Here is a 13,321-nt window from a genome sequence, read left to right on the forward strand (position 1 = left end):
AGAGGGGGTACCATAATCATGCTTACACACCGGACTGTTGGGAGGATTAAATGAAATATGTAAAGCACTTAGAACAAAACTTGACACATAGTAAGCACTCAATGTTATCTGTTATAATTAGTATTATCGGAGAGTAGAAATGATGAAGGTCCTGTGAAGGAGATAGAGAAGGGGTAGTTCAACATACAGGACAATGACCAGAATCTTTGGGTTCGTCTGGGCTTTAAAGAGAGGTATGTGCAACCATCAAACGTCGAGGATGCAAGAATGTAAGTACACCAACTCTACCAAGAACCAGCAACGGTCTCTCCCTGCTGTTGCTGCTTGTCGACTTCCAACTACATTAGGTAGTAATTATTTCACTTCATGCCTTAAATTGCTCCTTTGAGACTCCGGCTATATAGATGGTTCCTAATTTAGGACGGTGTCACTTAGAATTCTTCGACTTTTAAGAAAGCCATGAGCATTCAGTAGAAACTGTACAAGTAACCACACAACCGTCTGTGTTCATGATTTTGCCCAACTGTAGATTAAGGTAAGTGTTCTGAGCATGTTTAAGGTAGGCTAGCGCAGCCATAAAAAGGAATGAAATCATGTCCTTTGCAGCAACATGGGTGCAGCTGGAGGCTATTATCCAAAGCGAATTAAAGCAGAAACAGAAAATCAAATATTGCATGTTCTCACTTATAAATGGGAGCTAAACATTGGGCATTCATGAACATAAAGATGGCAACAATAGACAGTGGAGACAACTAGAAGGGAGAGGAAAGGAGGAGCAAGGGTTCAAAAACTATTGGGTAACATGCTCACTACCTGGGTGACAGGATCAATCGTATCCAAACCTCAGCACCACGTAATATACCGATGCAACAAACCTGCACATGTACCCCCAAATCTAAAATAAACAGCTGAAAATAATTTTTTTGATAACAAAAGTAGGCTAGGCCAAGCTTTAATACTCAGTAGGTTAGCTGTGTTTTAAATCCATTTTCCATTTGGGATATTTTCAACCCCGTAGTAAGTCGAGAAGCATCTGTTCCTACCTAGAAAATCTTCCATAAGGTAATCGATTAAAAGGTTTTAAGGAAATACAAGAAAAACCTGACCAGTGAAGAGGTAAAAGCCCCTAAAGAAGGCGTACCGACACTCTCCAGGACGCTCGCAGAGCCTTCACCCCCTGGCCCTGGGGAAGGAAATTCCCAGTGCAGGAGTGAGGGAGAGACCCAAAAGCCAAGAGGAGCCTGCGCAAAGCGACCGCAGTGGCGGCCCCAGGGGCCACTGCCCAGAACCATCCCTCCCACACAAACGCACAACCCTAAACCCCCACCGCCCGCCCTTCGCTCCAAGGCCCCCGGGGCCAGCAACCAGGGCGTCCCTGGCACTTCAGACCAAAGCTGCAGGCCCGCAGAAGGCCACTTCGGTCGCTCCTGCCGCCTTCCCTCCCTCCTCCCTCGTTGGCCTGCTCCGGCGCCACTCCCTGCTTTGTCCCGCACGAGCCTACAGGCTGTCGCAGCCTCCCGAGCTTCCCCCTGCAGGACGCACCGGCGAAAATCTGACAGAAACCACTGGCCCTGCAAAGAAGTCCTTCTGGTAACCAGCTATCCCCTCGCCGCCGGAGAAGCTCAAGGATCCCGCCTCGGCGAAGCCAATCGCGGACGAGCCCGCCGCGCGTGCGCACTACCTAGCCGCTGCACTGCCCTGTCCTGCCCTACTCTGATTGGACGACCCTACTGCATCACTGCGCATGTATCTTTGCGTTTGGCTTTAAATGCTTCCAAGTTTGATTCAAGTTTACGGTTCAATTAAAAAAATACTGGTTTAGTGCCTACTTTCAGACACAGTGTAGATGCCGAGGCTACAGACCTCACCATCTGCGTGGATAAGTAATAAATACGGTATGATTCGGTGTGTGCGATAATAGAAATGCGTGCATCGCAGAAGTATACGATATCCTATTGGTTATTCATTCATCCGAAAAAACATTGACTTAGCGGTGCCTGCAGGATAATTTTCAAACTCTTTGTTAGGTTCTGGGAATATAGAAACGAATACGTGATTATTAGGCTCTCAGAAAAGGGGAGCCGCCTCCGGACTTGGAAAAGCATTAAAGCATGTTAAGTAGGAAAGTTACATCATTCAATGAGTATTTACTGAGCACCTTCTAAGTGCTAGGCGGTAACACAGTCAACTATCCCTGAAAAATGGTATTAGAAAGGCTAATCTGAAAGGAGAGAGAATGGCTAAAGGTTGTTTATTGAGTTTTATCCAGCAGTTTGACAAAAAGTAAAAGCTAAAAAATATCAAGGGTGAAATGAAGATGTGAAACAATGGGAACTCTTGGGCTGCTGGTAGGAGTGTAAATAGGTACAGCCATTTAAAAGAGTAATTTGAGGCTGAGAGCGGTGGCTTGTGCCTGTAATCCCAGTACTTTGGGAGGCCGAGGCGGGCGGATCACTTGAGGTCAGGAGTTCGAGACCAGCCTGGCCAACATGGTGAAACCCGGTCTGTACTAAAAATACAAAAATTAGCTGGTTTTGGTGGAGCGCGCCTGTAATCCCAGCTACTCAGCAGACTAAGGCGGGAGAATCGCTTGAACCTGGGAGGTGAAGGCTGCAATGAACCGAGATGGTGCCGCAGCACTCCAGCCTGGGCAGCAGAGAGACCCTGTTTCAAAAAAAAAGAGTAATGTGCTTAAGGAGCTTTTATCCTGGGGACTTTTTCCAGTCATAAAGAGCACCTCATAGGTTGAGTTGTGCTTTTGGCAGCTCCTGGAGCCAGCGTTACAAGAATTTGAAATGGGGACCTGCCAAGGTTGGGCACCTTAGTAAACCGCACCCCCCTCTTCTTTGGACTGGGACACATAAAGAGTAAGGGTAACCAGAAAACAAGCTAGCTTCATAGTGTCTGCAGCCTACCTTAATATCATCTGGGGAGTTCAGAAAATCTAAAACAGATTGGCTAAAGGTGACCTGGGACATTCCTCTTGCAGATTTGCATCTGGTTTGATCCTTCACTTCAGATCATTACTCACATATCAACTTGTCAAAGGGCTTTATCTGACAGTGCATTGCTCTCTTGTCTCATCTTGTATCTCCCTTACCCTGCTTTATAGAGTTCATCACACTTTCCATTCCCTAACATATACTTATTTGTTAATTGTTTTTCTATTACTCTCAGAATATAAGCTACATGAGGGCAGGATCTTTGCTTTATTCTCTGCTGTACCCATGTGTTTAGAATAGTACTAGTCTTTTTTGTTTTGTTTTGTTTTTTGAGACGGAGTCTTTCTCTGTCACCCAACTGGAGTGCAGTGGCATGATCTTGGCTCACTGCAACCTCTGCCTCCTGGGTTAAAGCAATTCTTCTGCCTCAGCCTCCCAAGCAGCTGGGACTACAGGCATGCGCCGCCACCAAGCCTGGCTAATTTTTTGTATTTTTGGTAGAGACAGGGTTTCACCATATTGGCCAGGCTGGCCTCGAACTCCTGACCTCGTGATCTGCCCACCTCGGCCTCCCAAAGTGCTGGGATTAAAGGCATGAGCTACAGCACCCAGCCAGAACTGTACTAGTCTTACAGACCGCACTCAATAAATATTTGTTGATATTTATTTGGAGGCCAAGGCAGGAGGATCACTTGAGGCCAGGAGCTTGAGACAAGACCAGCCTGGGCAACATAGTGAGACACTGTCTCTTAAGAAAAGAAAAGAAAAGAAAGAAAGCTGGAAGAAGTGTACACATGAACACTCTGTTCTGTTTTTGCAAGTGTTCTGTAAGTCAAACATTAGTTCAAGTAAAAAGTTTAAAAAGGCCAGGCGTGGTGGCTCACGCCTGTAATCCCAGCACTTTGGGAGGCCAAGGCGGACGGATCACTTGAGGTCAGGAGTTCAAGACTAGCCTGGTGAACGTGGTGAAACACTGTCTCTACTAAAAATACAAAAATTAGTTGAGCATGGTGGTGAGTGCCTGTAATCCCAGCTACTGGGGAGGCTGAGGCAGAAGAATTGCTTGAACCCAGGAGGTGGAGGTTGCAGTGAGCCAAGATCGTGCCATTGCACTCCAGCCTGGGCAAAAGAGCAAGACTCTATCTCAAAAAAAAAAGAAGTTTAAAAAACAAGATTTCTGTTACTCAACAAATACTAAACATGAAGTACCTGGTAATGCAAAGGACACTGTAATGTGTAGTTCAAAAGTACTTTTCTGCAGAAGTGTATAGTCTGATTTTGGATTATCTCTAAAGGAAACTAATAAAATGCAATTTAGGCCTGGGTGTGGTGGCTCATGCCTGTAATGCCAACACTTTGGGAGGCTGAGTGGGGAGAATCGCTTGAGTCTAGGAGTCCAAAACCAGCCTGGGCAACATGAATGAAACCCTGTCTCAAAAGAAAAAAATCAAAGTCTTTGTCCAATTATGTGGATACATATATCTTTGGAAATGAATATATTGGTATTCGTTTCATTTCCTTCTTTAATCATTCAATGCCAAGTATGTCACCCCTAAATATTTTTATAAGGATATTATACTATGCCTTGGGGTTAACAGTAACAAATATTGGAGGTAAAAGTCTCTGTAACTATAATGTTGAATTAACACATTAATTGGTTATTACTTATTGGTAATGTTAGTTAATTGATTAAGCAGCATCAACATTACAGCTGGGGTGGGAGGAGTGGAGAGGAGAAAAATAATTTGGACACCTCCTTTTAGTCTGATTACCCTTCTTTTTCAGTTGTGATCCCACTTGTCTCCTAGCCACTACACTTGATCAATTCTGGACTGTTATTTTTTACTTTAACTCTATAATAAATATCTGTAATACATTTCTCTTTTGATTCATATTCACCTCCCACCACACATATTCCTACTTCTATTTTATGTTTCAGAATATGAGAAAATAACACCCCACTAGTGATTTGTTCATATCACACAGAAGTTAATGAATGGCAAAGGCAGGATTAGTACCTAGCTCTATTCATTACTAATTTCTTACTTTTTCATCGAAGTAAGTTTCGGAGGGAAAATTATTGAACAGTTTTTTAAAGTTTCACATGCTAGCTGGGTGTGCTTATGCGTGCCTGTAATCCCAGCTACTTGGTAGGCTGAGGCAGTAGGACAGCTTGAGCTCAAGACCAGCCTGAGCAACATAGTGAGACTTCACTTCAATTAAAAAAAAATTAATAAGTTTCACATGGTTATAGAACAGTTTTGGATAATATTTATTTTATATGACTTGGGCTTTCAGGTGAATTATTTTTGATTCCTTATTTAGCTTAAAGAGAACAGTGATTCCAGAGGACCCTAACTTGTTCTGGAAGGACCAAGTGAAATGTTTCATCAGAGTAAATAGCAATTCTACCATTCCAGGATTACCAGAACATCTAAAAGCATCCTTCCTAGAGGCAACAACTGAAAGCAGCTGCAGACTTAAAGAGGACCAAAGCTTTACCAAAATATGCCTAAAGTATCTCTTAGCAAACCAAGAGACCTTCAGTGGGGAATACAACACAGTTTGTCAACTCAAATAATTTGTCAAGATTTATTAACTTGAAAAAAAGTTTAAGAATGTTTATTTAACTAATATTTTAGTTTTGTCTATTGCTTTAAAATAAGTCATGTAATTCAGCATTTTTTTTCTAAATGAATACCTCAAAACCTTATTCCATTTTAAACTCAAGAATATGTGGCTGGGCGCAGTGGCTCCCAGCACTTTGGGAGGCCGAGGAGAGTGGATCACCTGAGGTCAGGAGTTCGAGACCAGCCTGGCCAACATGGTGAAACTTCGTCCCTACTAAAAATACAAAAATTAGCCAGGCACGGTGGCGGGCACCTGTAATCCCAGCTACTCAGGAGGCTGAGACAGGATAATTGCTTGAACCCGGGAGGCAGAGGTTGCAGTGAGCCGTGTTGCGCCACTGCACTCCAGCCTGGCGACAGAACATCTCAGATATGAAAGTAGATATAACAACTTAAAACACAATAATCAGAAATGGAATTTCAAAGAAGTCTGTAGTCAAAAGTGTGGAAGCACAAAAAACATAACTAGACTCTGCAGATAACAGTCTAAGGCCACATATCCAAAGTCAATCATTATATGTAAACAGTTGAGGAGCGGATGGCTTTGATACACATAGTTTTTAGCAATCTCTCTTCAGTTCAAATTGAAAAAGTACCCATCGCCTATACTTTCATTTCTCAATCATGCCAACAAATAGCATTACGGATTCTGCTTACCTTACCTTCAAATTCTCATTCCAATAAAATTGCCATCACAAAGGTTATAAAATCTTCCAAATTGCCAAATCTAGTTGTCGTTTCATCTTCACCTTCACCCTCTGTGATCCATTTGGAGCCTGTGGCACTACTTATCACATCCGGAAACCTCCAGACGTTTGAGCTTCAATTCTGCTGTTCCAAAATGCTACCTACATTTTCCTCATTCTGCTCCCAAGCACCTGCCCCTCTCTTCTCCCATTAGAAAGTTATTTCAGAACAGTAACTGCTTTATTGAGTTTTATGCCATCATGGCCTAATTTAATTCTAGCAGTATTACAGTATCTGACAAATATCTGTTCTATGTGATCCCTTTGTCTCCATTACCACTATCCTAGCTGAGGACATTACTTTCATTTAGGTCACTGTATCCAAACCTGGCTAATTATTAGAATCTCCTGAGAAGTTTTTTAAAAAGAGATGTGTAGGCCCCCAAAACTTGCATTTTTAAAGACCTCCCCAGATGATTCCTAAATTTGAAAACCATTGACATGTAATCTCAGCACTTTGGGAGGCTGAGGCGGGCGCATCACGAGATCAAGAGATCGAGACCATCCTGGCTAACATGGTGAAACCCCATCTCTACTAAAAATACAAAAATTAGCCTGGCACGTTGGCAGGCACCTGTAGTCCCAGCTATTCGGGAGACTGAGGCAGGAGAATAGCTTGAACCCGGAAGGCAGAGGTTGCAGGGAGCCGAGATCGCGCCACTGCATTCCAGCCTGGCAACAGAGCGAGACTCCGTCTCAACAACAACAACAAAAAGAAAAAAAAAAAAAAAAAGGAAAAAAAAGAAAACCATTGATATAGATCAGTGGTTCTCAAACCTTAGGGTGCATCAAACTTTAACAGAATTGTTTGCAGGATTTGTTAAAGCACACACACATTGCCAACCCCTCCCCTCCTGGGCCTGGGGTCATGTTTAAGAGTATTCATTAATGCTTTTTTTTTTTTGAGACAAAATCTCCCTATATTGCCCAGGCTCAAGTGCAGTGTCGCGTGATCATGGCTTACTTCAGCCTCGACCTCCTGAGTTCAAGGGCTCCGCTTGCCTCAGCCTCTCCAGTATCTGGGACTATAGGCACACGCCACCACACCTGGTTAATTTTTTAATATATATCTTGTAAAGACAGGATCTTGCCATGTTGCCCAGGCTGGAGGAATATGCATTTCTAACACATCTCCAGGTGATGCTGAGCTGCTGGTCTAGGGATTGCTTTTCGAGAATTGCTCATAGAGAACTTTGCTGTAACTTCTTTTTCTTTTTTTTTGAGAGGGAGTTTCGCTCTGTCACCCAGGCTGCAGTGCAGTGGTGTGATCTCGGCTCACTGCAAACTCGGCCTCATGGGTTCAAGCAATTCTCCTGCCTCAGCCTCCCGAGTAGCTGGGACTACAGGCGCCCACCACCACGCCTGGCTAATTTTTTTGTATTTTTAGTACAGACGGGGTTTCACCGCGTTAGCCAGGATGGTCTCAATCTCCTGACCTCATGATCTGCCCATCTCGGCCTCCCTAAGTGCTGGGATTACAGGCGTGAGCCATTGCGCCCGGCCTGTAACTTCTTTATTGGTCGGCCTTCAGGCTCTTCCCTCTCTAATCCTTCCTCTCTGCTGCACCAAAGTAGTTCTCTTTTAATTTTTTTACTTTTTCAATTTTTATTTATTTAGTTTTTGATACAGGGTCTTGCTGTGTCACCCAGGCTGGAGTGGAGTGGCACAATCACAGCTTACTGCAGCCTTGAACTTCCGGGCCCAAGCAACCCTCCCACCTCAGCCTCCTGAGTAGCTGGGACTACAGATGTGCACCACCACACCTGGGCTATTTTTACATTTTTTGTAGAGATGGGGGGGTCTCACTATGTTGCCCAGGCTGGTCTCTGACTCCTGGGCTCAAGTGGTCCTCCTGCCTCAGCCTCCCAAAATGGTGGGATTACAGACATAAGCCACTGCCCCCATCAGTCCCCTTTTTAAAAGAATACTTCTGATTGGGAGTTATGTGAAAACATCTTTCATAGTGACTGGCTGATAGAAGCTCATAAAAGTACCAAATCTGAAAATGTCACTCACATTTAAAAAGTTCAGTTACTCCCTAAGGCTTAGCACAGCAAATAAGACCTTTCATAATTTGACCCCAGTCTCCAAATATACCTTCCCCTCCATCCCCTCTACACTGTCCCTACATTCCTACACTGGCCAAAGTAGACTACTCACTGTTCCCTGCAATTACCACCTCCTTACATTTAAAAAATATTACCATATGCCCTGAGTATCCTGGAAATTCTACTTAGACAGAAACTGGACTATCCTCACTTAGAATCTATGTTCAAAAAACCATTATAAAACTGTCCCCAAACTAATAGTCTCCCTAAAACCACATCAATATTGTTCAGTAGAGCTATTAAACATTAGTATAATTCTACTTACATAATTTCCACTTATTTATCAAGCAGGCACTAATTTCTGGCTTCAGAAATAACTTAGCAAGTAAGGCATGTTAAGTATATTTTTGTCTAGGTAGTGGAGGATCTAATTTAAAGTAATAATGCTCTACATGTAAAAAAAAAATCAAATACAAATCTTATTTAATCCCCATAACCTACTGATGTAGGCAGAGCAGATAAAGAAATTTAGGATAGGCCAGGAGCGGTGGATCATGTCTGCAATCCCAGCACTTTGGGAGGCCAAGGCGGACGGATCATTTGAGGTCAGGAGGTCAAGACCAGCCTGACTAACATGGTGAAACCCCGTCTCTACTAAAAATACAAAATTTAGCCAGACATGGGGGTGGGCGCCTGTAATCCCAGCTACTCGGGAGGCTGAGGCAGGAGAATCGTTTGTACCCAGGAGGTGGAGGTTGCAGTGAGCCAAGATCACGCCAGTGCGCTCCAGGCTGGGTGACAGAACGAGACTCTGTCTCAACAAAAAAAAAAAAAAAAGAAAGAAATTTAGGATAAGAGGAGCGATTTAAAGTTGCACAGCTAATTAGTAGAGCATAGAACTGGTTCTCAAAACCAGACTTTTTGGTCACAAAGAACTTCTCCACAACATCATGTCCCATCACAGATTTACCTGGTACATTTCACCTTCCCAAATAAAAATAACTCTTTAGAGAAATTCCATTGTGATTTCTAAAACAGATGCTATCATCAAATTCTTCAGGTTGAAACTCTCTGGGCACATTTTGTCCTGCATAATTTTTTGTTTTGCTCACAAAATGTTTTTAATTTTTAAATTGAATTAATTGCATATTTGAAAACTGATTACACAATAATCCAGATTTTTGGCTTCTCCCTAAAAGTCAGAAGCACAACCATTAAAAGGGCTATTATGAAAACCAAAACAAAACAGAAAATAACAAGTGTTGGCAAAGATGTGGAGAAATTGGAACCCCTTTGCACTGTTGATGGGAATGTAAAATGGTGCAGCTGTTGTGGAAAGCAGTATGGTGGTTGCTCAAAAATTAAAAATAACAGAATTACCATGTCATTAGGCAATTCCACTTCTGGATATATACCCCCCAAAATTATAAGTAGGGTCTTGAAAAGATATTTGTACACTCATGTTCATAGCAGCATTATTCACAATAGCCAAAATGTGGAAGCAACCCATATGTCCATCAACCGATGACGAATAAACAAAATGTGGCATATCCACACAATGGAATATTATTCAGTCTTTAAAAAAAATTCTGACACAGGCTACAACATGAATAAACCTTGAGGACATTATGCTAAGTGAAAAAAGCCAGCTGCAAAAAGACAAATTTATACGGTTCTACTTACATGTGGTATTTAGAGTACTCAAATTTACAGAGACCGAAAAGGAGAATGGCGGTTGCCGGGGGTTGGGGGGACAGGGAAATCAGAGTTGTTTAATGGGTATAGAATTTCAGTTTTGAAAGATGAAAAAGTTCTGGCCGGGCACAGTGGCTCATACCTATTAAGCCAGCACTGTGGGAGGCCGAGGCGGTAGATCACTTGAGATCAGGAGTTTGAGCAGGAGTTCGAGACCAGCCTGGTCAACATGGTGAAAACCCATCTCTACTAAAAATACAAAAATTAGCTGGGCCTGGTGGCGTGCACCTGTAATCGCAGCTACTAGGAAGGCTGAGGAAGGAGAATCACTTGAACCTGGGAGGCGGAGGCTGTAGTGAGCCAAGATCGTGCCACTGCACTCTACCCTGGACAACAGAGCAAGAGTTTGTCTCAAAAAAAAAAAAAAAAAAAGAGTTCTGGAGATTGGTTAACACAATAATGTGTATTGCTAGTACTTTAGTTTGCACCCCCTTCTCTAGATTATGAAGTTATATGACGCTTACAAGATCCTACTCATTACCTCCTAATCTGTCCTATGAATTTAAAATAATAAAAATTAAAATTGCATATATAATCTTTTCTGCTTAACTAGTCTTTAGGCCAGGCACAGTGGCTCATGCTTGAAATCCCAGCACTTTAGGAGGCCGAGGAGGGCAGATCACTTGAGCTCAGGAGTTCGAAACCAGCCTGGCCAATATGGCAAAACCTCGTCTCCACTAAAAATACAAAAAACTAGCCAGGCATGGTGGCTTGTGCCTGTAGTGTAGTCCCAGTTACTTGGGAGGCTGAAGCACAAGAATCACTTGAACCTGAAAGGCAGAGGTTGCAGTGAGCCAAGATCATGCCACTGCACTCCAGCCTGGGTGATGGAGTGAGATTCCGTCTCAAAAACAAAACAAAACAAAACAAAACAAAAAAACCCAAAAAACTAGTCTTTATGCAAAAGCAATTCCAAAAAGATTTTATACAATTTTAATGCCAAGATATCCTTTTCTTAAAATACTATTTTAAAAATAGTTACTTTTGAAAACCTACAATAAAATGTTAGAAATGTAATGGTTGGATTATTCAAGAATTCTGAATTGTTCCACATACACTTCATACACTTAAGATCTCATTAACTTTTCTTTTAAAAAAATGATGTGGCCAGGCACGGTGGCTCATGCCTGTAATCCCAGCATTTTGGGAGGCTGAGGAGGGCAGATCACGAGGTCAGGAGATCGAGACCATCCTGGCTAACATGATGAAACCCCCATCTCTACTAAAAATACAAAAAATTAGCCAGGCCTGGTGGGACCCCACTGTAGTCCCAGCCACTCAGGAGGCTGAGGCAGGAGAATCACTTAAACCCGGGAGGCGGAGGTTGCAGTGAGCCAAGATCACACCACTGCACTCCAGCCTGGGTGACAGAGCGAGACTCCGTCTCAAAAAAAAAAAGACGTTTACATAATTGTTTCCATTATTAGACTGTGAGTTTCCTGAGGGCAAAAAATATCTTAGTCACCCTTATATTCCCCACACTGTACTAGGGTATATGGAACACAGAAGACGCGTAGGAGACATACTCTAGTTCCTACATTCTCACATTCTCATCCTGCAGGTTTTTGCAATTACTTTTTTAAAAAGAAATAAAGCTAATCTAACTGGGCCTACTACTCCTTCACACAGAATACTACCTGCAACATTCTTTTTAAATAAAGCATAACAATATTTCATAGTATTTTTTCTTATTCTTAGGAAATAAACACAAATCATTCTATCAACTCCTCTTCTACAGATTAAATTTGTACTCGAAGGAATTCTGCATCTTTCATTAATTTCTAAATGCCGCTCAAAACTTTCCCTGAAATAGGCCGGGTGTAGTTGTTCATGCCTGTAATCCCAGCACTTTGGGAGGCTGAGGCAGGTGGATCACTTGAGATCGGGAGTTCAAGACCAGCCTGGCTACCATGGTGAAACCCAGTCTGTACTAAAAATAGAAAAATTAGCAGGGCATGGTGGTGGGTGCCCATAATGCCAGCTACTCGGGAGGCTGAGGCAGGAGAATCACTTGAACCCAGGAGGCAGAGGTTGCAGTAAACAGGGAAAGCACCACTGCACCCCAGCCTGGGTGACAGTGAGACTCTGTCTCAAACAAACAAACAAACAAAAATTTTCCCTGAAATGTCTTGTTTGAGGCTCACTTCTGAAATAACTAAAATACAGTGTTGGGTCTCTGAAACTCCACTGCCGTATGATGAATTACTAATTTTGATCTCTAACACACTTAACCTGAAAAGTCGCTTCTTCTCCAAGATGGAGAGGTAAGAAATTAGGAGGTAGCCAACCTGATTTTATTATTATTTCTTAGAGATGGGGGTCTTGCTCTTGCTGCCCAGGATGGACATGAACTCCTGGGCCTAAGCAATCCTCCCACCTCAGCCTCCTGAGTAGCTGGGACCACAGGTGCCCACCACTGTGCCCTGCTCCAATCTGATTTTTTTTTTCCACTCTGTCACCCAGGCTGGAGTACAGTGGCACAATCATGGCTCACTGCAGCCTTGACCTCCTGGGCTTAAGTGATCCTCCTGCCTCAGTCTCCCAAGTAGCTGAGACTACAGGCATGCACCATCACACTCAGCTTTTTCTTTATTATTATTTTTTGAGATGGAGTCTTGCTCTGTCCCCCAAGCTGGAGTATAGTGGCTTGATCTCTGCTCACTGCAACCTCCACTTCCTGGGTTCAAGCAATTCTCCTGTCTCAGCCTCCTGAGTAGCTGGGATTACAGGCACGTGCCACCATGTCCAGCTAATTTTTTTTACTTTTAGTAGAGACAGGGTTTCACTATGTTGGTAAGGCTGATCTCAAACTCCCGACCTCAGGTGATTCGCCTGCCTAGGCCTCCGAAAGTGCTGGGATTACAGGTATGACCCACCACGCCCAGCTTCACTCAGCTAATTTTTAAATTTTCTTTAGAGACAGGGTCTCACTATATTGCCAGGGCTAGTCTCAAACTCCTGGGCTTAAGTGATCCTCTTGCCTTAGCCTCCCAAAGTGCTGGGATTACAGGCATGAACCACCCAACCTGATTTTAAATCCTGTTTCTACCATGCTTGAGTCAAGCTCTTCAACTTTCTCCATCTGTAAAATTAGGATAATACCACCTATGCTGGATTGTTATAAGGACTAAGTGATTTTTGCATGTAAGGGCTGGTCAACATGGTGGATTCCTTCCCTTCTCATTTATCTAGGACTTGTA

The 13,321-nt window shown here is 43.0% G+C and overlaps 1 protein-coding gene across 2 annotated transcripts in view, besides 1 other annotated feature; it reads right to left on the reverse strand.

The window, feature by feature from the left end:
• Positions 1-1,657, reverse strand: part of RAD54B (RAD54 homolog B) — a 103,156-nt gene extending 101,499 nt beyond the window's left edge. For both annotated transcript variants that reach the window (NM_012415.3, NM_001205262.3), the window contains exon 1: positions 1,543-1,657. The gene's annotated coding sequence lies outside the window, so the exon portion shown is untranslated. The remainder of the gene's footprint in view (positions 1-1,542) is intronic.
• Positions 1,390-1,619: an enhancer, noted in NCBI's record as "active region_27631". NCBI's record gives its function as "activates an Ori minimal core promoter by ATAC-STARR-seq in GM12878 lymphoblastoid cells {active_cell/tissue: GM12878}" and the evidence as "EXISTENCE:reporter gene assay evidence [ECO:0000049][PMID:35858748]".

This window comes from Homo sapiens, chromosome 8 (assembly GCF_000001405.40).
Source record: "Homo sapiens chromosome 8, GRCh38.p14 Primary Assembly".
Classification (NCBI taxonomy): domain Eukaryota; kingdom Metazoa; phylum Chordata; class Mammalia; order Primates; family Hominidae; genus Homo; species Homo sapiens.